Here is a 24,548-nt window from a genome sequence, read left to right on the forward strand (position 1 = left end):
CCAGAAAGCGGGAGGAGAGAGCCAGGAGTTTCCTAGTAGAAATGGAATAAGGTCTTTTATGCTTAGTCATATGGGGTGCCCTTCCTCTCTGGTATGATTTGGGAAGCCAGAAATGCCTCCATTTCTTCCCCTTCCCCCAGCATATCTCATTGGGTTCTTAAAATATGAAAATTACTAATTCATTCTCTTTAGAATTACTCTCACTTCCAGTTCGTCTTCTAAAGTTCTCTTGCTTGCATACAAGACCCCATGCTCCTGATATCCTGCTTCTGTGAATGAGCATTCTGAGGCAGAAGATGAGAGATCTGAAAGCCAGGGCTTGTTGGGGAGGACGACTGCTAAATGTGGTGGAAAAAGAAGTAAAAAAAAGGGGAATAAGAGATGTCATTTATTTTAAGATTTTGCCTAGGTCTGATTAAAGATATTTCTGCTGTTTAGCATTGGCCAATAAAAAGCTAGACTCAGAATGTTACTCATGTGCATACCTGTAGTTGTGGCTGCTTTTTCTTTATCTTTTTATTCTTTTGGAGCTGGCCTGTTTTCCCATACCTCAGAATTTTAGCTTCATCAGGCCCACGGGGCTGTTTCTTTGGATACCTTCCCAACCTTTTTTCTCTTCTGTTTCTTCTGCGTCTCCTATGCTCTAGTCAGATGGACTCATGAGCAGGTCCCTTTTCACGTTTCCCTGCTCCTATACTTTAACTCCAACATTTATTCCCTTTGAAGAACCCTTCTCAGTTTGTGAATCACACTTTAAACCCATTCCTCAAGCCTACTTTGAATGTGCTATCTCCAAATTTTCTCTAAGGAATTACTTTTTTTGAGTTTCACAGAACTTTTATCTCTATCATTGTATCTTCTATTGTAGGACTTTTTGGGTTTGTTGTTGTATTTCTCATTTTCTTTGCTAAACTCTTAAGTTTCTTTATGCTAGATCCTTGTTTGATTCCTATTTGCCTTGCATATAGGTACTAAATAGACATTTATTAAATAAGTTAATTTGAAGTCAAGTATTAATAAAGCTCTAAATACAGTTGCTTTTAGTAATTAAGAAATGTCCTTTACATAGACATAGCATAAAAATAAACTTCTGTGTACCTCTGTGTCTCAGATACGTTTGTATGCATATTTTGTGCTAGTTACTCATGTTATTTCATTCCCCCCACCCCTTTCCTTATGTCTGAGGAGCTCCTCCTGAAGCTCCACATGAAAAACAATGCCTTCTCACTTCCGTCATTTTGAGGATTGCGATGGGGGATAGCTGAGATATTTGAAGCTTGGGAACTCTTGTGTTTTGGTTTGAAGCTGCTTTGATCAACTGGCCTTCCCAGGCCAGCTTCAGTGGGGCCAGGATCTGTAGACTTCCCCAGCTTGTAGGTTCAGAAATCTGTGACTATGTAATTAGGATAATTTTCTCAGGAAAATTTAATCAGATGGTGAGCTCACTGGCATATTGTGTGTTTTTTTTTTTCTATCTTCTGGTATAATTAACTGTTCTCCAAGCAACTGAAGAAAACAAATTTTATTTAGGAGGAAAAGTATTTTATTTTGCCCCTAGTCAATTTACATAACCGCAGCTTCTGTCTGTAAAATGTGGACACCACAGTCTTCTCTCTTATTCCTCTCTGTTTTACTGAAATGCCATGTGAGTAAAAGACTTTAGACAAGAGAATGTACACTCTCTCCACCCCTCCAATGAGATAGGATCGGGGGAGGATTATAACAGACTTATTTCTTTGATATTCAGGTATGGAATTGGCAATTGGACAAATGTATCTTTCTACGAGGCCATCAGGAAACAGTGAAAGACTTTAGACTCTTGAAAAATTCAAGACTGCTTTCTTGGTCATTTGATGGAACAGTGAAGGTAATTTAAAGTATAAATTTGTTTTTTGAAAAAGTATTCTCATATTGCAATGATTATATTGAGACAGTCAAAAGCCACTGTGAGGCTAATTACTTACTTAAAAATTTTTAATTTTTCTCATGCTTGTTTTCTGTTAATTGCAGTCACCTACATCTGCTGTGTTTAATGAGCATTTATACTGTTAGTCACATTTAAAGTAAAGGGGTCAGAACAGCCAGTGTATTAAAACTCTTGTTTTATAGACCTGTCTTGTAGCTGATTATGCTTTTTAATATAAAATGTTCTTAAAAGTGTCAACCTCCAAGTGTTTTTTTTTTTTTTTTAAGGTATGGAATATTATTACTGGAAATAAAGAAAAAGACTTTGTCTGTCACCAGGGTACAGTACTTTCTTGTGACATTTCTCACGATGCTACCAAGTTTTCATCTACCTCTGCTGACAAGACTGCAAAGGTAGGTCAATCAATTGAAACCATGCATAAAACTTTGGTAGTGGTTATGTATAATGAGTTCAAATAATATATGCAAAAGGACATAACAGTTGCTCTCTACATGTCTGTTTCATATTTTGTGATCTTTTGGAGGATGCCCATTGGCATTTAGTTGGTATCAAATGAATGAAATGAAATACATTGAGGACTTCTGATTTCTCCCTTATGGATTACTTTTTGTCTATAACTAATCAAATGCAACCTCTACTGCATATTGTAGGCAATAAAAATCATTGAAAAGCATTTACATTTAATTATACACTGACAATACAATTTTAATATAATTAATGTAATATAATTGACGTGTGTCTAAAATCACATTCTGGTGAATGATGCTGCTTGGTGGGGGACCTCAAGTACTCTCTTCTCTCCTTTTTTCTCCTTCTACCAGTCTTTCCAAACTATAAACCTTGGAATTGTCAGGGCTGTATCCTGTCTTTTGTGCTCTGTTGATGACTCTTTAGTGCATCTTAGAGTTATCTTCTCCTCTTTGTCACCACCCTGAAGAGCATGCTTTCCTCCTCCTCCACTGGTGAACTGTCCCAGCATCCTGCCTCTGGTCTGCACCTCTTCCACTTTATCTTCCATACCACTGCCTGTGTCCCTTGTTGAAACACCTATTACCTAACGGTTTATAGGCCAACCACTTAGCTCCTCACCATCTTTTTCTGCTATATTGTTTCCTCTGTGCCAGCCTACTTTCCAACTTCATCTTTTTGTGCATGCTGCTAACTTTGGTTTGATAAACCTTCTACTCTTTTACCTTGAAGCATTATGACTCATCTTTCTAGACCTAGATTTGATGGCAGCTCTTCTGAAGCGTTTCCTGACCCTCAAGCAAGGTTAGCTGCTCTACCTCCAGTGTTTCTATTACATTTTATTCATTTGTTAGAACATTTACTTCATACAACTGTTCACTAACTGTTCGTGAGCCTGTCTTTGTGATTAAACTATAAACTTTTCAAGGATAGTGACTGTAGCTAGTTTATCTTCTTGTACCACTAGTTCTTAGCTCACAGCGCTTGGAACTTGGTAGTTTTCAGTATGTGGTTGCTAAATGATGTTGACAAAACCATGAGACAATATTGAAAGAAAAAAAAAATAGCATTTGGCTGCCAAGAAGTAGGCTAGTATAGTGACTAACATTTAAAGATTACTTGTCACATGCTAGTAATTTCACTCTCTATAATCTCATTTAATCTTCACATCATAGGTACAATTGTCCTCATTTTACAGATGCCGTGTCTGAAGCTATAGAAGCTTATATGAGTTGTCCTAGTCACAAGAATCTAGTGAACAGTGGAGCTAGCACTCACATTCAGGTCTGCTTCACTCCACAGACTGCTCTTAGCTGATTCAGTGTTCTTCTGTCTAGGTCTAAATTAAGGAAGGAGTGACATTGATCCTTGAGCTGAATTTAACTTGAGTAAATAAAGGGAAACTCAGAAAAATTAACAAGGTTGCATGCTGGAACTTGGGCATCTCATGACAGTTTATGAATTGCCAGATATTAGAATGTCCATGTGATTGAATTTATGGCTGAATAGCAATCAAGGCAGATGCTTATTTTGAGTGTTTATAGCATTGCTAAACAATCCTAATTGCCTTCCAGATCTGGAGTTTTGATCTCCTTTTGCCACTTCATGAATTGAGGGGCCACAACGGCTGTGTGCGCTGCTCTGCCTTCTCTGTGGACAGTACCCTGCTGGCAACGGGAGATGACAATGGAGAAATCAGGGTAGGCTGTTTGCTGACATGAGAGCACTGCTCTTCTTGTAGCTTGGGCTAGCACTGTTCACAGTGGGGACCTTTGTTCACGGGCCAGGGAAGCATAGTCCTGAAGTTGTGGTTGGATGAGGCATTCTTTTTGTTTCTTGTGCACATTGTATTCACAGCTGCACTCCACTGCAGAAACGGATTCATTTTAGAGTTAGAGTGAAGCATTCCCTGTATATGTGAGGAAGCAAGTGCTCTAGTCATTTGTAGTTCATTCTCTGCCATTAGCTTGAGAATGATTCATCTTAATTCTTGGACTTGAACCAAAGGTTTTTGGTAGCAGAATTTGAGGAAAATAATTTTGTAAATTATGGTCTGGATTATAAATGAATTGCAAATTCTGCTTTTTCTGTGCTGAAAGAAAAGATCTCTTTAGCACTATACCCATTTGATAGCCATTTCCAGTGTGGTTTGTTGCAGTCCTCTGTGGACTGCCTGCCTGTTAAACAGTGCAGAGGTTCACATTTCCGTCATTGTGGGGCAGCGAAGGGCTCCTAATTGAGTCACAGTCTGCATGCTAGGCCAGTTTTTATTACCCTGCAGTGCTTAAGATATACATACAAACCATGCCAATTTTATTTAGAAAACAATCTATTTTTTTTAGATATATAATTTTGACTTTTAGAAAACAATCTTTTTAGGAGGCTTAGAATGTTGTTCTCTGTGTCTGTGGAAATATAGTACCATATGGAAAGAATTGCATGCTGAAAGATTAGAAATTATGGAAAAGGAGTCAGTTGACCTAGTTGTGTCAGAAGAATTGGGGAGCCGATTGGAAAAGTTTGGGTATTGGGATGACTACTTTGGTAACCAGTGTAGATGAGGAAGATGGGGTTTTCCCCCTTTCATTACAAAGGAGGATCTAAAACTCCAGGAACAGGTATATAGTGCAGAAGACTAGGAGAGTATACAGTTTGCAGGAACAGAGGTGTTATCAGATGGGCTTTCCAGGGAAATTAAGATTCTTCTTCTTGAGGACTAAGTAACCAACCTTCTCTCTACCAGTCACATAAATGTGTGTCAGCTGAAGTGGCAGGGCTGCTTTGGAAATGTTCATTTTGCTCTGAGTTCGCGTCTTTGGATGAAAGTGCTCCTTTCCCAGTTATGAGGCGGTGTTTCATTTTTCAACCACTGCAGGAAAAAGTTGTCTCCATTAAAATTGTGTTATTTTAAAAATTTTTGTTGGTACATTAAAAAAATTTTTTTCTCCCTGATTATTCAGAATATAGGAAAGTTACTGATTTTTGTTTGTATATGTACTACCTTACTGAACTGTTTCTAATGAGTTTTTCCATTCGGTTCTCTTGGATTTTCTAGGGAGAGATTTACAAATGATTGTTTAATTTTCTTTTACCATTTATGCCTCTGTTTCTTTTTCTTATTCTGGTGTACCTTTATTTGAAAAATTAGAGCACTGCTTATATATTAAATGCCACTGGAAATAAATGGCAATATTAGTATCTGTGTTAGGGTTGTTTATAATAAAGTCTAGTAAAATAATTTTAGAATACATATATATGGACATATATATGTTTTAAAACCAGAGAAGCTTCTGGATAACTCTGTTAATGAATTGTGTATCATGTTTATGTAGATATGGAATGTCTCAAACGGTGAGCTTCTTCATTTGTGTGCTCCGCTTTCAGAAGAAGGAGCTGCTACCCATGGAGGCTGGGTGACTGACCTTTGCTTTTCTCCAGATGGCAAAATGCTTATCTCTGCTGGAGGATATATTAAGGTAAGAGTTCCCCAAGAACTGTGAAAGAAAATAATAGCCTATATCATACTTTCCAAGCTATTTTCACTTCCTGTTTCTCAGTTGGGCCTTTTACAACCCAGCAGAGTAAAAAGGCTGCTACTCCGGAGGCTAAGGTGGGAGGATCGCTGGAGTCTGTGAGGTCAAGGCTGCTTTGAGCCATGCTTGCGCCACTTCACTCCACCCTGGGTGACAGAGCGACATCCTGTCTCAAAAAAAAAAAAAAAAATCTGGCAGTAAAATGAGTTTAGTAACTAAAGAAAAGAACAGAAAAAAATATTGAAAACAAAAAAGAACCAGAAAAAACTTTAAAAAATAATTAAAAGCCAGGCACGGTGGCTCACGCCTGTAATCCTAGCACTTTGGGAGGCCAAGGTGGGCGGATCACCTGAGGTCAGGAGTTTGAGACCAGCCTGGCCAACATGGCGAAACCCTGTCTCTACTAAAAATACAAAAAATAGCCGGGCGTGGTGGCATATGCCTGTAATCCCAGCTACTTGGGAGGCTGAGGCAGGAGAATCGCTTGAACCCGGGAGGTGAAGGTTGCAGTGAGCCGAGATCACACCATTGCACTGCAGCCTAGGCAACAAGAGCAAAACTCTGTCTCAAAAAAGAAAATAAATAAATAAATAAATTAATTAATTAATTAATTAAAAAAATAAATAAAAAGGAAAAGAAAAAAAAAGGCAGTTACTATTATCCCCATTTTGTAGTGATGAAACTGAGATCCACAAGACTGCTTTCCTCAGATCTTGGGGAAGCTTTGGTGACAGTGGCAGGGATGCCCTCAATCCAGAGCTGTCATACTGCCTCATACTAAACTTGGGGCATTAGAATGACTAGCAAGTTGGGTGTTTAACTTAGTTCTGTTTTCCATGTCATTCACAATTAACTATGTTGGTTGAAAATCTTTAAAAAAACATATTTTTGAAATTTCTTCAGTAATAATAATAGCAGCAGTATATGGCTTTATAGTTTACAAAACGCTTCACTCCCCTCATCTTACTAGCCAGCTTTTTGAGGCTTAAATTTCATTCTTGGTTTACAGATGAGGAAAATGATTTTCTATGGAGGTTATAACTTTCCTAAAGTTACATAATTAGTGCCGGGTGTGGTGACTCACACCTGTAATCCCAGCACTTTGGGAGGCCAAGGCGGGCAGATCACTTGAGGTCAGAAGTTGAAGACCAGCCTGGCCAACATGGCAAAACGCCATCTCTGCTAAAAAATACAAAAATTAGCTGGGTTTTGTGGCGGGCACCTGTAGTCCCAGCTACTTGGGAGGCTGAGAGGTGAGACTCACTTGAACCCCGGGGGAGCAGAAGTTGCAGTCAGCTAAGGTCACACCACTGTACTCCAGCCTGGGCAACAGAGCGAGACTATCTCAAAAACAAACAAACAAAAAAACCAAAAATAAAGTTACATAATTAGTAAATAGAAAAGCCAGGACTCAAACCCAGGTCTCTGCCTCTGCTTTCTCTAGCTAATTGGCTTTTTAAAACTTACTAGTGATTGAGGCCGCAATTTGAATGTGTTGTGGTGCTTCAGGGTCATATTTTTGGTGTTTTTTTGATGTATCTTTTATCTATCCACTCAAAAAGACTGTGTTGAATGTCCAGTGTGTGCTAAGCTACTGCTCTGTGGCACAATGTTTATGGCTTGGTTCCTGCCTTTCAGCAGCTTACAGTCTATGGGGGAAGCAGGTGGTAAACCAATAAAGTCCCTAAAGTTTAGAAGGGGTCTGGGACATGCTTTCATGAGGGAGGTGGAAGCACAAAGGAGAGGAGTGACCAGACCAACCTCAGAGAGTTAGCAGAGGCTTCACCTGGAGGGGAATGCTTGAAGTGAGTCTTTTGAATAGCAGTTTACTTGTAAAAGTGGTAGAAGATGATACTCTATATCAGCGGTCCCCAGCCTTTTTGGCACTAGGGACTGGTTTCCTTGGAAGACAATTTTTCCACAGATGGGGTGGTGGTAGGAAGTGGGGAGCGGGGAATGGTTTCAGGATTAAACTGTTCCACCTCAGATCATCAGCATTAGATTCTCGTAAGGAGTGCACAAGCTAGATCCCTCGCATGTGCAGTTCACAGCAGGGCTCTTGCTCCTGTGAGAAACTAATGCCACCACTGATCTCTCAGGAGACAAAGCTCAGGTGGTAATGTTCACTCACCAGCCGCTCACCTTCTGCTCTGCGGATGGGTTCCTAAAAGGCCACAGACCAGTACCGGTCCATGGCCCAGGGACTGGGGACTCCTCTATATTGGGCTGATCACTTGGACATTCTGAAAGCTTTTTCATTCAAAATTGATTCCTAATAAGATCTTATGATACTGTTATTTCTTACTGAAAACATTCAAGTGTAGGAGATGATTCTCATTAATTGTCTAAGGCAGGATAAGTGTTTGGAAATATTTGAATGACTGGTGTTTTGGTTACATGAGACCCACACAGCTGCAATTTTACCACCATAAGAATCTAGCTTATAAAAAAGATAAATTAGAGGACAGTTTTTAGCTTTATGAAAGGATGTACTAAGGGGTACAAAAATACAGATAAACAAAAGGAGTAATTTCTAGTATTTGATAATACAGTAGGGAAATTATAGTTAACAATTTATTGTATATTTCAAAATAGCTAGAAGAATTATAATGTTCCCAACACAAAGAAAAGATAAATATTTGAGGTGGATATCCCAATTATCCTAATTTGATCATTACACATTGTATCACATGTACCCCCAAAATATGTACAACTTAATTATCAATAAAAATTTTTTTAAAAAAGAAAGGATGTATGTTATCCCTTTACAAGGTTTCATTGAAAACACAATTCTGTTTACAAAATGTTGCATTAACCTACATCTTTATTCAGTTATTAGGAGATCCTGAGAAATGACCACCAATTGTTCTCCTTTAGTGTAAAGATAAACTAGAACTCAGTCTGCTCTGGGGATGATGCTTAGAGGAGAGTCATTGCTGTCTGTGTTGGAAGCTGGGGAGTCTTCGGCTATATTAGCTGCTGACAAATTTAACTGCTCAGCTTTGACACCAAGTTTCTAGAGACCACATCATTTGATTCTCTGGCCTCCACAGAATTCCATCACATAATTGAGAGTCTGGTTTATAAGATGTTACAAAGATCAGTGACCATATTTGCAGAGTTCTTGGGGAACCTTGAAATAAAGCAGCAGAATAGGTTTACATAGTATAGATGTTATGTCTGAAGGGTGAAAGAACTTCTAGCCTATGTATTTAGTTTGTATATTTAAATGACAATCAGGCTGCCTTTGCCTTCTGGTTTGATTACTAGCTTATTCAACTGATTATGATATAGCCCAGCCTGCATCTACCCAGCATGTTAATGAGACTATCCAAAAGCACAGAGCAAATTAAAAGTAAAAAGGAACAGCTGCTGTAGTGTCCAAGAAAATAGGCCTTTTGAGCCTGTTTACTTTAGAATCCAAGCTGTATAAATTGAGTGCCAGTAAGATAAAGTAGGTATCCAGAAGCTTAAAAAGTTCTTAACTTCCAAATTATTCCTATTTATAAGTGAAAAAATAATTTAGCTGTTTACCTGCATTATGCCACAGAGTACATACTGAATGACAAGAAATTCACATTAATTCATGTGCATGAAGGGAAAGCTGATCTGAAGTATGGAATACATGGTGATAAATGGTGGTGTGCCATGACTTGGTGGCAGCAGAGTGTAATGGTCAGGAGAGTGGGCTTTTGGCCTTGAGATAGGCTGCCTGAGTTCAAAGCCTGCCTCTGCCACTCATTAGCTTTGTGACCTTGCACAAGATTGTTTAACTTCTGTGCCTTGATTTTCTTATCTGTAAATTGATGTAATGATAATACCTAACTCATTTCACAGATTTCCCATATACCCCTTTCCCCCACAAACACATAGCCTCTTCCATTATGAACATCCCCCCACCAGAGATGTGCATTTGTTACAATTGATGGATCCACATTGACACATCATTATCACCCACAGTCCGTAATTAGGGTTTGTTCTTGGTGCTGTACATTTTTCGGGTAGTTGAACTAAGTGATCTCTAAGAGCCTTAGTGACTGAAAACAAATGAATCTCAGGTTGGTGGAATGTGCTTGATTACACTGTTATTTTACAAAGCAAACTTGTGAGTTCTGGAAAATCCCAAGTTAGTGCATGCTGGTTCAGTGAGGTTTACCAAAGTCCATTGGGTATACTTTTAGCAGTTACTATTACTAATAGTGAACATGCTTACTTGACCCACTCACATGGGAAAGACAAAATGCTAGGTACTGCCATAGGCACAAAGGTGGGTGACACTATTACTGTGTTCATAATACTCAGGATCATGGTGAGCTTGAGGCCTTTTCAGAATAAGTTTACATGTATTGTCTCTTGCCCCCATTTTAGCTGTGAGATTCATGGGTAAACTTTATGATTCCCATTTGTTAAATGAATATAAATATTATAAGCAAATTCAGTGATTGGGAAGGAAAGGAAGGACTTGGCTACAGCCCTTGCTACGTTTGAGATGTTCAGTATTTGTTTAGTAAATAAATAATATAGATTATTTTATAAAGAAACTTGGTCAAGGGCTCTTGCATCACACCTGGGGAAAGGGAAGATTCAGTAGAGAGAACATTGTTTCCTGTAGCCCATATTATGAATAGTTTGGGTCTCTGTCAGAATACCAGTCTGTGTCTGCAAAGGGGCATTTGAGTGAAGAGAGGGGGAATCTTCTGCCCATTCTCCCGAGAAGGACATGCAGACAAGAGAGTTGAGTCTGGCCACTGCTGTAATGGACTCTATAGCTTCCTGTCTGCAGCTCTCAAGCAGGCTGCATGTTTCTCCAGCACAACTCAACGGTTGGAGTTGGGTGTAGGCGGAGCAGTGAGGCCATCACCAGTGTTCATCAGGAAGAGGCTGACCAGGTTGAATAGTATATTCAGCATTAAATCCGAGACATTTTCCTCCTGTTTGCTTGAGTTCGGTTGGGGGGAGGAGATAGGGTAAAGGATCTGCTGGCACTATAAATTGTCACACAGTGTAATTACCAATCTAATGAGAATTTTATTTTTCTCTGAACAGTGGTGGAACGTTGTCACTGGGGAATCCTCACAGACCTTCTACACAAATGGAACCAATCTTAAGAAAATACACGTGTCCCCTGACTTCAAAACATATGTGACTGTGGATAATCTTGGTATTTTATATATTTTACAGACTTTAGAATAAAATAGTTAAGCATTAATGTAGTTGAACTTTTTAAATTTTTGAATTGGAAAAAAATTCTAATGAAACCCTGATATCAACTTTTTATAAAGCTCTTAATTGTTGTGCAGTATTGCATTCATTACAAAAGTGTTTGTGGTTGGATGAATAATATTAATGTAGCTTTTTCCCAAATGAACATACCTTTAATCTTGTTTTTCATGATCATCATTAACAGTTTGTCCTTAGGATGCAAATGAAAATGTGAATACATACCTTGTTGTACTGTTGGTAAAATTCTGTCTTGATGCATTCAAAATGGTTGACATAATTAATGAGAAGAATTTGGAAGAAATTGGTATTTTAATACTGTCTGTATTTATTACTGTTATGCAGGCTGTGCCTCAGGGTAGCAGTGGCCTGCTTTTTGAACCACACTTACCCCAAGGGGGTTTTGTTCTCCTAAATACAATCTTAGAGGTTTTTTGCACTCTTTAAATTTGCTTTAAAAATATTGTGTCTGTGTGCATAGTCTGCAGCATTTCCTTTAATTGACTCAATAAGTGAGTCTTGGATTTAGCAGGCCCCCCCACCTTTTTTTTTTGTTTTTGGAGACAGAGTCTTGCTTTGTTGCCAGGCTGGAGTGCAGTGGCGCGATCTCGGCTCACCACAATCGCTGCCTCCTGGGTTCAAGCAATTCTCCTGCCTCAGCCTCCCGAGTAGCTGGGACTACAGGTGTGCGCACATGCCAGGCTAATTTTTGTATTTTTAGTAGAGACGGGGTTTCACCATGTTGGCCGGGATGGTCTCGATCTCTTGACCTCATGATCTACCCGCCTTGGCCTCCCAAAGTGCTGAGATTACAGGCGTGAGCCACCGTGCCTGGCCAGGCCCCTTCTCTTTTAATGGAGACAGGGTCTTGCACTATCACCCAGGCTGGAGTGCAGTGGCATAATCATACCTCATTGCAGCCTCAGACTCCTGGGTTCAAGCAATCCTCCTGCCTCAGCCTCCCAAGTAGCTGAGACTACAGGCACGAGCCACCACACCCAGCTAATTTTTAAGTTTTCTTGTAGAGACAGGGTCTCACTATGTTGTCTAGGCTGGTCTTGAACTCTTGGCCTCAAGTAATCCTCCTGCCTCAGCCTCCCAAAGTGTTGGGATTGCAGATATGAGCCACTGGCCTGGCCTTCAGCAGTTCTTTTTGTGAAGTAAAACTTGTATGTTGGAAAGAGTAGATTTTATTGGTCTACCCTTTTCTCACTGTAGCTGCTGGCAGCCCTGTGCCATATCTGGACTCTAGTTGTCAGTATCTGAGTTGGACACTATTCCTGCTCCCTCTTGTTTCTTACATATCAGACTTCTTACTTGAATGAAACCTGATCTTTCCTAATCCTCACTTTTTTCTTTTTTAAAAAGCAGTTTCTCCACTGCTAAATGTTAGTCATTGAGGTGGGGCCAATTTTAATCATAAGCCTTAATAAGATTTTTCTAAGAAATGTGAAATAGAACAATTTTCATCTAATTCCATTTACTTTTAGATGAATGGCATTGTGAATGCCATTCTTTTAATGAATTTCAAGAGAATTCTCTGGTTTTCTGTGTAATTCCAGATGAGTCACTGTAACTCTAGAAGATTAACCTTCCAGCCAACCTATTTTCCTTTCCCTTGTCTCTCTCATCCTCTTTTCCTTCCTTCTTTCCTTTCTCTTCTTTTATCTCCAAGGTTAATCAGGAAAAATAGCTTTTGACAGGGGAAAAAACTCAATAACTAGCTATTTTTGACCTCCTGATCAGGAACTTTAGTTGAAGCGTAAATCTAAAGAAACATTTTCTCTGAAATATATTATTAAGGGCAATGGAGATAAATTAATAGTAGATGTGGTTCCCAGAAAATATAATCAAAATTCAAAGATTTTTTTTGTTTCTGTAACTGGAACTAAATCAAATGATTACTAGTGTTAATAGTAGATAACTTGTTTTTATTGTTGGTGCATATTAGTATAACTGTGGGGTAGGTCGGGGAGAGGGTAAGGGAATAGATCACTCAGATGTATTTTAGATAAGCTATTTAGCCTTTGATGGAATCATAAATACAGTGAATACAATCCTTTGCATTGTTAAGGAGGTTTTTTGTTTTTAAATGGTGGGTCAAGGAGCTAGTTTACAGGCTTACTGTGATTTAAGCAAATGTGAAAAGTGAAACCTTAATTTTATCAAAAGAAATTTCTGTAAATGGTATGTCTCCTTAGAATACCCAAATCATAATTTTATTTGTACACACTGTTAGGGGCTCATCTCATGTAGGCAGAGTATAAAGTATTACCTTTTGGAATTAAAAGCCACTGACTGTTATAAAGTATAACAACACACATCAGGTTTTAAAAAGCCTTGAATGGCCCTTGTCTTAAAAAGAAATTAGGAGCCAGGTGCGGTGGCACGTGCCTGTAATCCCAGCTCCTTGGGAGGCTAAGACAGGAGGATTCCTTGAGCCCTGGAGTTTGAGTCCAGCCTGGGTGACATAGCAAGACCCTGTCTTAAAAGAAAAATGGGAAGAAAGACAAGGTAACATGAAGAAAGAAGAGATACCTAGTATGATGGAGCTGCAAATTTCATGGCAGTTCATGCAGTCGGTCAAGAGGAGGATTTTGTTTTGTAGTTTGCAGATGAGCATTTCTAAAGCATTTTCCCTTGCTGTATTTTTTTGTATTATAAATTACATTGGACTTCATATATATAATTTTTTTTTACATTATATGTCTCTTGTATGTTTTGAAACTCTTGTATTTATGATATAGCTTATATGATTTTTTTGCCTTGGTATACATTTTAAAATATGAATTTAAAAAATTTTTGTAAAAATAAAATTCACAAAATTGTTTTGAAAAACATTTTTGGATTGTTTCATTCTTTGCTTGTCATTTATCTGTTGATTAGACCACTAAAGTGAAGGATTCAAGCTAAATACATCAACCTTTCTATTTAGGCTTTATCAGCTATATGTAAATTCAATTCTATCAAAATTTTCTGAGTGCCTCCTCAGTGTGTCTCTCTGATGGTTCCTGCCCGGTATGGCTGGCATGAAGAAGATCCTGTAAAAAAGAGAATTCATTTATTTATTCACTTAGTTTGTTCATGCATTTGTTTAATAAATATTGAGATGTACCATGTGCCTGGCATTGTGGTAGGTATTGGGAACACAGGAGTGAGCAAAACAAAAGTCTTGCTCTACTGCAGTTAAGGGCCAGGGAGAGGCAGAAAAAGTAAATAAGTAAAATCTATAGTGAATTTGGTGGTATGTACAAGCGGAGGGGAAGGGGTTACGGTTTTAGATGGACTGGCTCTTTCAGAAGCTGACACTTGTACAGACCTGAAAGATGTGAGGAAGTGAGCTATGCATCTGTCGGGAAACCATTCTGAAGGATACAGCAGGTGCAGACTCCAGTGGGATGGTTGGTGTATTCTGGGAGCAGCCAGACGGCCCATGTGGCTGGAGAAGGGTGAGTGTGAGGAGTCTAACAGGAGAGGCAGAGAGGAATTGGGGTAGCACCGGAGGCTGCCTCTTAGGCCACAGTAAGGACTTCACTTTTGACTCTGGGAGCCAGTGTAGGAGTTTTGAGCAGTGGTCTGATTTAAGCTTTAACGAATCACCCAGGCAGTGGGAATCAACTGAAAGGGGAACCAGTGAGAAGCTTTTGTAATCATCCGGACAAAATGAAGGTGGGCCAGACTAGGGTGGCAGCAGCAGAGCTTGTGACAAGTTGGATTCTGGACATATTTTGAAGATAAGAGTTAATAGGATTTGCTGATGGATTGGATAAAGGTTGTGAGAGAGACAAGAAAAGAATGATGCAAGGTTTTAGCCTGAGCAACTGGAAGAAGAGAGTTGCCGTCAGCTGAGATGAAGACAATGAAAGCAGCTTTGCGGACGCGGTAAGTTTGAGATGCCCGTTAACGAGACATCCAGGTGGGGATGCTGAGTAGGCGGGATGCAAGGCTCTGGAGTTCATGGGAAAGCTCCACCAGGAGGTAGAAATCTGAGAGTCATCAGTGAATTGATGGTATTTAAAATCAGAGGAGTAGATGAAATCAGCAGTGAAGTGGGTGTAGATAGAAAAGACAGGGGGCCCCAAGACTGAGTCCAGGGCAGTCTGGAGATCAGTGGGATGAGGGATAAGCCCAGGAGACTAAAAAGGACCAGCAGAGACTAAGAGTTGCAAATTAGTGTGGTAAGTACAGTGAATGCAGCAGGCATGGGCCCCTTAACGTCTTCTTGTCTGTAGTCCTTGATCAGTCTGCTCATTCACCCACCTATCTATCCTGTACTCCTTGAGCATCTGCATGCCAAGCACTGTTTTAAGCAGCAGAGGAAGCAATAAGTAAATACATTTGAGTTGTTGAGAGATCATGGGGACAACAGATGATAAGAAAACAGGACAGTATCAGCAGTTGTCTTATCTGAAAAATGAGGATCCGTTCCTCCCTCCAGATTGTTGTAGGATTTAATGAGATAAAGCTCCTGAAGCACTTATCTCATTGCCTGCACTAAGAGACCGCTCAGGGGACATTCTGCAATGCCATTTGAGCTCCCTCCTCTTTGCCTGGCAACAGCCCCAGCTGCCATCTCTGCCTCCAGTTGTGCCCTTCTGCATGATCTTTCCAGAGCACTCATCTGAATCACATTAAACTTCTCTGTTTAAACTTTGTGTTTACACTTCTGTTTAAACCCTGGACCTGCTCCAAGTTCTCTTCTGTAGCTTTGTGTACACTGTTTTCTCTATGCTGTCCTCTCACCGATTTTCTTTTCCCCGCTAACTCCCTATGTTTCACAAATTCTTTAAGATGACCCTCAAGAGCTGAAGGGCTGCCCTGCCCTCTCCTAGCATTCTCTTTTCTCTGTCATGGCTTTTGTTGTTTTGGAATTGCTTGCTTATTGAGGTCCCCAGTAAATCGTAAGCTCCTTGAAAGCCAGGACTGTATAGAGTCTAACATGAGCCTAGCATTGCAATGAGGGCCTCAGTAAACACTTGTTGGATGACTGGAATTCATCTCCTGAGTTCCATGGGATGAATTTGCCCACGTGTTCATAACACAGTCTATGTTCTTCCTTTCCATAAGGATATCATGAGGCTGTCAAATGAAGATGTAGCATATCACCAGCATTTTATCTTGCCGTTTTAGTTTGGCCTTTTTCTGTGAAACATCATTAGGGGAAAGTAAAACTTTACTTGGACAAAAGAGGTTTGCTACCAAATTATATAAAATGAATAAACATATCCCTGGAGTGTTTAAGTCAGCAAGTATGGCCATCTATTATTCCACAGACATTTTATATTATAATTTACTCACTGAACTTTAACGAAGGAGAAAATGATTTTCTAATAATTCTTAGTCTTTGAAGATTGTCACTGGAATACATTCCTTGCTCATAACCACTCCCCTTGGGACCGTGGATATACTATACAGTTATTAAAATGCCTGAATTAGAAAATCTGCTGCTCTTGGGCTATGAGTTTAACTATAGAAGAATTACTGTATATGCTCACACGAGAGGGGCAGAAGAAGGGGGTCACATTTGAGACGTAGCAGAGACCAGGCCTTTGAAGTCCTCTGGCATCAACAATGACTTGCTCCTGAGTCAAATGATGTGAGAAAACCAGAATTTGGGAAATTTTCATTTCAATTAAGATTCAGGAAAATGAGTCACTGGTGTTCTTTGTAAATTCATTTATGAGGTCAGGCCCCCAGAACTGGGAATGCTCCTTATCACATAGAAATGAATAGAAAAATCTGCCTCTGTAATTTCCATCACCCAGGGCTAGAATATGTAACTAGAGAGGGTGGTCGAGGCCTGAGTTTGGGTCTGGGGGTTCAGAGCAACCGATCAAACTGGAAAACTGAGCAGGTGAGTGGAGACTCCTGCTGTTCTGAGGAGCACACGTTCGCATTCATTCAAATGTTTATCGCCGCTCCACTCGAGGCACTGCCCAACTCTCATTTATCTTCACAGAAGTTGAGTGGATCTGCAGACTGCAGCTTCAGTTTTTAGATAGAGGAAGAACTAAACCCCAGCAGCTAATCGGTGACAAAGCCAGGGCTAGAATCCAAATCTGCTATTCTTTATAGATAGAAAGGCCAAGACTCTTAGGCTTGTAAGTCACCTGTCAGTCACAACTGGAAGTAGAATACTCCTGGGTTCAGTGGCAGATGACATCAGCCTAGGGGTCATAAGGCTTGGTTTCACTAGCTGGGGAAAGTCATCCAATAGCTTACGTGATGGTTTTGGAGATGTTCTTATATTCACCTTCAATTAGCAGTGAGCCCTTCACTAAGCCCTTCATCTTGGGCTTATTGCCCTACTTGCTGTCAATTAACCTCTGGAGACACACCAAGTCTTTTAGAAGGAAGGAAGGGAGCTACTATTTTTTGAGGGCCTTTTATGTGCCAAGCCCACAGGCTGGGCATTTTCCATACGTTATTTAACTGAATCATAACAGTGCTGCAAGGTGTTATCTCTTTCATAGGTGTGCAAACAGATGCAGAGAGGTTAGGTTTCCAGGGCCCCACAGCCAAGTGGTGGAGCTGGGTTTCTGGTCCACGGCCTTCTGTCTCCACTGGGTGACACTCCCTGTACCTTCTCATTGAAGCCCCTGGGCTAGAGGGTCCAAGAGCATCACTTCAGTTCTGCATTTCATTCGTTACTCACTTGCATCAGGACAGATGCATCACTACTAAGCTCTCGGAGAAGGCATCAGATGCTGTCTGCTCCCAAGGAGCTTCTACTTTTGGTAGTCTGCTTAACTTGTATCTGTGCCTGTAGAGATTGCTCTTTGAAAAAAGCAGCAGGAACATTCTGATAGAAGCCAATGGATGGGACAGGTGGGGGGAATGCGTTGGATTTGCCAGCACCTGGCCACTGCCCAACCTGCTCTCAATTCTCAGATGATTCAGGTATTGAGCAAGGAAGGTAGCAGAGCTACTGTTGCCTTCCCTTTGGGGAAGCCTGTTTCTACTTTGAAACTCTTAAGGGATTCATTTCAAATTAGTGGCAGGCCTTGGTTAGTGGATCTGTGTGCTGTCTTCTGCCATCTTGATTGCATCTCCCCCCTTCTCCTTTTCCTTTCATTTGAAAAAAGATGCAGCCCCTCAGAGCCTCACTTTCCTGATTTGTCAAATAGGGAACCTAATGTACAAGGCTTTTGTGGGGCTTAGAAAAAACATGTCAAGAATCTGATATAGATCTCAATAAACAGCATAATACTTATCTTTCGTCCCAGTTACAAACCCCCATTCCTGTACTGCCCAAATCTCCATGATTCACAAATTGCGACCCTGCTGCTTCTGCTCCATGGCAGACACCTAGCTCCAGGCACCCTCCTCTACCACCTCCTTCTCCTTATGGCCATTGGCTTTTAGGAGACAGACATTGCTTACTTAGCAGGAAAGCTGTCACCTGCTTTCTTTTGAACTATCCCGAACTTGATTCTCTTTGGGCGACGCATACACCCATCAAGTGGTAAAGAAGACTGGGAATGAGGGGAGAAAAGACCCTGGGCTTGTTGCTGGGGCCAGTAGCTTGGGAGTGTGGTGGTATGTGTGTGGCTTTGGCTGTCAAGTGGATCTAAGTTCAACCCTGGCTACACTGACTTTCCAGCTGTGTGACTTCAGCAAATGGGTTAATCTCCTCAAGGATTCACTTCCTAGGGAGGCTTTAAATGTCCCCGGGTGATTCCAGTGTGCAGTGGAGGTTGAGAGCCAGCGCCCTCTACTCTCACCCTTGATGCCCAACCAACTCATTGCCAGTCTCCTCCTTTAGCACAGCCCATGATGCTGCGATGTCTGCCAATGCAGCATGCCCCTTTGTGCCTGCTCTGCCCATAACATTCTCAGGAGCTTGCTGGACAGCACAGATGTTTGGTGTGCATATTAACCCAGCTGTGGGGATCTTTCCTGCTCAGGTTTGGTGGCTAATTTATAGAGCAGCTCTGTCAGGATGATCACCAATCCCTCTTACAGGCACTGCTTTCTCTGTTCAAGTGTCTCACATGTGTGTGCTTGTGTTTGCCTTTTAGCTATTACTGTGATGATTCCCAATGTAGTAGACACTGCCAGTGACCACCGCAATATCCAATCTCCCCCTTTTCCTCACTAACAACCCCTGCATTGTTGGGGGCTGCAGTGTGCTCAGCTAAAACTAACAATTGCAGCCACATTTTCCATCCTCCTACATAGGGGTGGCCAATAAGCTGTATGCAGAAGTTGTGGGGTGGAGCTTCCAGGAAAGCTCTTAAAAGTCTGCCTTATTCAGCTGGACAATGCTTCCATCCTATGGTCCTTACCATCTTTTCTAATGCCTGGAATATGTGTGTGCTGGAGGATGCTCCAGCAGCCATTTTGTGACAATGAGGCAATCTTGAGGCTAAAAGCCACTTCCAAAGGATGGCAGAGTAGAAATATAGAAGGATCTTGAGATTTCAATGATATCATAAAGCTACAATTCCAGCTCTGTACTGCCTATCTCTGAAGTTCATGTTACATGAGGGAAAATTCAACCCCTGCCTCGTTTAAGACATTGTTATTGCTGGTCTTTGCTACTAGTTCTTTAGTTCAATTCCTAACTGATACTTCCCAAAACAAACCTGGTGAATAACAGCAATTCAACAAATGTCACCGACCCCTGAATCTCTGCCTCCTCCACCCACTCACCCCAGCTACAAACACTCTTTCTTTCTCCTGATGAGTAACCGGGCATCTAGCTGTAAGGTTGCTGAAGCTTTGTGGAATCTCAGAAAGTCATAAAGCTACTGAACAAGTTCACAAACAAGTGATGCATAGACCACACCCAGCCCACAGATGAGTTCTGTGTGGCTCACACTTATTTTTTAAAACTGGGTTTGCTGCCAACACTTCAAAACCCAACGATTTTGCGTGAAAATCCAGATTTCTTAGAAAATCTGTGGACCCAGGGTCTTCCTTTCTGCCTGGCAACAATCAGCTGGAACTCAGCAGTGGTTGCCCCTGAGATGAGGCACAGCCCCATCCCCCTCACTCATGTCACCTGTATGGCTTGGAAGGCATGTGAGTTTGCAACCTGCTCAAACCCACACCCCAGAAACGGCCCGCTAAAATGGGATTTCAGAATCCACTTGTACCTTTCTTCTTTCTCAGTCTCCCCTGACTCAACACAGCACACTGGCATTGTTTTTTTCCTCTCAGACAACTCAGCATGCACTTTTGAGAATCAGAGAGAAATCCGCCTCTCAAATGTCAGAAAACAGCTGATGCTGCCTCTTACTTGGGGGCCTTTTGACTTCCCACGTGTCTTACTGCCACTTGAGAGGGAGGGCTGCAGGCAGGCAGGCTCCCTGGGGAGCAGCTGTTGGGATGCTTGATTGAGGCCCTGAGACAGCCAGAGGACAATTAAATTGGGTATTGAATATGAATTGCTTTGAATGGTTTTTATTACCACATTGTGAGCTGACTTTGGTTGTAAAATCTGACTCCATCTCTTGCTCTTACTGTGGTGATGAGACAGAACTTCAAGATGTCTTAAATAGCAGGGCTTGGAACATGCATATTAGCTCATCTGTACTCGTGAAGTCTGTCATCTGATACCCGCGCTCCTCCACTGTCTGAACCAAGTTAGGAGCCCTGATTAAACCTCCGCGGCTGCAGTCGCCACCTTCCGCCGGGGTGACCCCATTGGAGATGACAAATGAAGGATGTCTTATTTCAGCCTGATGTGTAAGTCTTCACAGCACTGGTCGTTAACTACTCTTGGAAAGTTAAATGCCCATGCAGCTTTTTTTTTTTTTTTCCCCAAACAAACATAGGTCTCTGAGGTTTTGGAGAGAAAAACAAAAACTGTTTTAATAATAATTTGTAGCTATGCTTTTTGATGAGTTGCACACTGAGTGCAATATGTTGGCTGCAGAATGACCATCTTTGCAGAAGCAACTCTAAGGAAAGTGATGCCACGCTAAGCACAGAGTGAGTTCTCAATAAGTAGACCGACTTGAGCGGAAGACAGAAACAGTTAAGTGGAGTTGGCATTTCCCTGGTTGGCACCAAGGTCTCAGGGTTATTTCGACCACAAAATTAAGTTCCAGCTCCTAGCTACTAACAGAGTCACAATATGCAGCATGGTGATGGTCAAAAGGCCTGAGCAAGTTCAAAGCGCCGTCTCTGCCGGCTTTGGAACCGGTTTCTGTGGGAAGCAGGACTCTGTTGCTGGGGCAGGCAGATGCTTGTGTCCATTTGCCTAGAGGCAGTAAATGTGGGGCTGGCTGGCTGGCTGTTGGGGAGCTAGGACTGGAATATGGGGTGGGCCAGTGGGCCTTGCTGCATGTAGACTCTGTGCTGGCTGTGTTGGCTAGTTAGTTACCCAACTTTATTTCAAAAAATGTGTTTCGAACCTTCAGATCGACTAGCCTATCTAAAAAGAGAACTTAGAAAGTTATTTTTTTTAAAAAAAGTCTTCTTCCTACGGATTTCCTGAACATGGCCATTATATTCTAATTCTCTTGAGGCTAGATCACTTATCAAATTTTCATTTCTTTTCAGAAGTAATTAGGAGTGATGCTACCTTGAATCCAGGTGTGAATTTTTATTGATTTTTGAGGATTTGGCCACGTGTTCCTTTATCCAAGCCTGTCTTCTGCTCCATCTTATCCAAACAAACATTGAACCAGCAATATTCCCAAGTATTCCAACTTGAGAAAAATCTTGTGTGTCTTGAGAAAAATCATTTCCATGACTTATTAATGAACTAACTAGGGATAATTTTCATAGGGTTCGTTAACTCAGATTTATCATAGAATACAATTTAATAAGAAACAATTAAATGGAGTAATTGAATTCAAGTCCTTTTTTGAGTAATGATGTTAGCATTCAATGACCCCCCCTGCCCATGGTTATTGAAGTTATCAATGTATCAATTTTCCCCTTGAAGAAAATCAGCTGCAAATCTCTTCGTCAATGCATGGGCCGCCTCTCATCTGCCCCCTGCAGGCCTAGCCCTTCCTTTTCCCGTCCCTGCTCTGGTCTATGGGGCTGCTGTGTGTATAGAAAAAAATGAAAGGACTGATGACCATGTAGATAATGTTTTTCCAAACATACCATCGAGGCTGTGCTACAAAAGTGATCCAGTTTGGTGGTCCTTTCTCTTTTAGAGATGCCTGTTTTGACAATTCCTCCTTACAGTCTGCTTTAATATTTAAAAGAAGGCAGTGGGGGCTTTAGGTTAAAATTAAAGTTTCAGAGGCCTGTGTATCTTTCTCAGACTGGTTGAACTTGGAACTGTGCAACTTTTCTCAACAATTTTGCCAATTAAAAAAGTCCCTTTAGCTGTAGATGCTGAGAAGGCTGGGCCTTTGGTTCTGCTCCTAAATGGGAGTGGGGAAGGTGCTCACAGAACGATGCCAAGCACCACTGCTGTACAACTTCTGTTTTATTTTTGTGTGCTTTTTTTATAGGATATAAATAATGACAAAAATTACAAAATTTATAACTGGAAGCCCAAGCTTATTTACACATATGCTTCTGTTTCAGCAAAGCTCCTATTAACTTTGCTCCTATACAATTGCCTCCTGGTACCATATTTTAGTGTTATTTAACTCTCATTTTGCTACATACATATCAACAGTGAATAGGCAAAATATATACAAGGAACTGTTCAGTTCAAGTAATTTAATATTGTATTAAAATTCTTCAACACTGAACTAAAACCGTATACATTTGTTAGTTTGAAATAAAATGTAGTTATTCTTCAAAACTCACCAACTGATGAATGTAACTGATCATCTCAGTTAGGTTTAAAATAATGTCAGTTAATAAAAAAACATTAAGACAATTCCACAATTTATCAATATCGCTATAATGAACTTCAAAATGATTCACAATATGATTGTTAGAACAATATACATTAAAATGTTATTTTTTTCTATAATGATATTGGTACTGTTTATATAATTTGATTCTACATAAATATACATTATGGTATCATACAAATACTCCACAGAGACATTAAAAAATTAAAATACCTTAAAGAAATGTAAGTAAATTTTATTTAATCAAATAGTAAGCAAACTTTTTTTTTGTTTGTCTCAAGAAAAGTTTTATTACTTTGGAATTTCTTCTTTTTTTTTTTTGTATTTATTTTTTCTAGAAAAAGAAATTTTTGCAATAGAATTTTATTAACACCTTTCTCAAACAAGGTTTCCATGACAGAAATCTTGACAGCAGGAGCACTAGATTTTTTTTTTTTTAACATGTTCTTTAAAACACTGTGAAGATTAAAAAACAATCTTGGCAGGCTGATGGCTGCGTCAGCACTTCCGGGCCTCCTGCTCTAGGGAGCATCACCAGTATTTTGCCACCACTGAGCCAGTCCTCTTGGTAGTAGCAGTAGAAATTTAATTATTTGAAATGAAACCAGAAACATCCCTCGCAACTAACCTAGTTTTCTTATCAATGCATTAATGAAACATTCTTTTAATAAAAATATTTAATACAAGACACATTTTGCTGTGCATAATAAATTCCTCTGCTTTGAATCATTCTTTCCTTTTGAACCAATCATTTGGTTGAAAGGTTTTCTTTCTCTGACATAGGTGATTACATATAAAATCCACAAATATAGAAATGGGGAAACAGAATCTCCTGGCAATCATATCACGGGAGTTGTTTTTGTCCTTTTGCATTAAACGATACTCAATGATAGAATGATTTTACAGATGCTTTGGAGGTGGGAGGGGTAGTGCTGCTCTGATTTCACCTTTAAAACTGCTGACAGTGAAAGCATACTTTTAGGCAGTATTAGAGATCCCCTTTACTTTTTTTTTTTTTTTTTTTTTTTTAAAGAAAAGGTATTATTTTCCCCAAATGAAGCAAAGCAAGTACTGGGGCGGAGTCATCAGAAATACCTTGGGAGGTGGTGGGGAGGGGAGTCGGGAGCATCAGGGAAAACCCATCTCAACTCACGCCTCTCAGGGGTTGCGACTGGAAAGTCTTGCGTTTTCCATCACTGGTGCAGAAAGAACTTCCCCAGGAATGGCCAGTGGCCTTTCGCCCGTAACAAGGCCGCACGCTCAGAGCAGTCTTCCTCCTGGGCTGGGTGGACGCGGAGGCGCGAAGGAAAGCCTGCTCCGGGACCGCTTGGCGAGCAAGGCACCGCGAGGACAGGAGGACGGCGAGTATCAGAAAATCGTGGTTTCATACTTGGTATTAATGCCCCTCTTGGCTTCTTGGCCCGGCTCCACAATCCACGGTAGATTGGCCAGAGTCTTTTGCTCAGATGGGTCGATCTGCTTTAAAACAGAAAGGCTGATGCCTGTTATACGGTCGCCGCGCGGGTGCGCGCATGCACGCGGACGCCGCTGGCGAACCCACGCGAGGCCCCTCGCCCCAGGCGCGGGGCGGCGATGCTGGTCTAGGCGGCTCGCGGGCTCGCT

General features: G+C 40.8%; 2 protein-coding genes across 77 annotated transcripts in view; one reads left to right on the forward strand and one right to left on the reverse strand.

Moving 5' to 3' along the window:
• The window catches only part of APAF1 (apoptotic peptidase activating factor 1), a 90,144-nt gene extending 76,156 nt beyond the window's left edge, over positions 1–13,988 (forward strand). For 5 of the 6 annotated variants that reach the window (NM_181861.2, NM_181868.2, NM_013229.3 and 2 more), the window contains 5 exons: positions 1,748–1,867; positions 2,194–2,319; positions 3,970–4,095; positions 5,728–5,871; positions 10,975–13,988. In NM_181861.2, the coding sequence (NP_863651.1) occupies positions 1,748–1,867; positions 2,194–2,319; positions 3,970–4,095; positions 5,728–5,871; positions 10,975–11,121 (663 nt within the window). In that variant the 3' untranslated portion in view covers positions 11,122–13,988. The remainder of the gene's footprint in view (positions 1–1,747; positions 1,868–2,193; positions 2,320–3,969; positions 4,096–5,727; positions 5,872–10,974) is intronic. The other variant, NM_181869.2, reaches the window with a different exon arrangement.
• ANKS1B (ankyrin repeat and sterile alpha motif domain containing 1B) overlaps positions 13,341–24,548 on the reverse strand; it is a 1,250,151-nt gene continuing 1,238,943 nt past the window's right edge. For 37 of the 71 annotated variants that reach the window (XM_005269029.6, XM_017019652.3, XM_006719512.5 and 34 more), the window contains one exon: positions 22,529–24,404. In XM_005269029.6, the coding sequence (XP_005269086.1) occupies positions 24,294–24,404 (111 nt within the window). In that variant the 3' untranslated portion in view covers positions 22,529–24,293. Of the gene's footprint in view, positions 14,190–22,528; positions 24,421–24,548 lie in introns of those variants that run through there. The other 34 variants (XM_006719513.5, XM_006719505.5, NM_001352185.1 and 31 more) reach the window with 4 other exon arrangements.

This window comes from Homo sapiens, chromosome 12, assembly GCF_000001405.40.
Source record: "Homo sapiens chromosome 12, GRCh38.p14 Primary Assembly".
NCBI classification, from domain to species: Eukaryota; Metazoa; Chordata; class Mammalia; order Primates; family Hominidae; genus Homo; species Homo sapiens.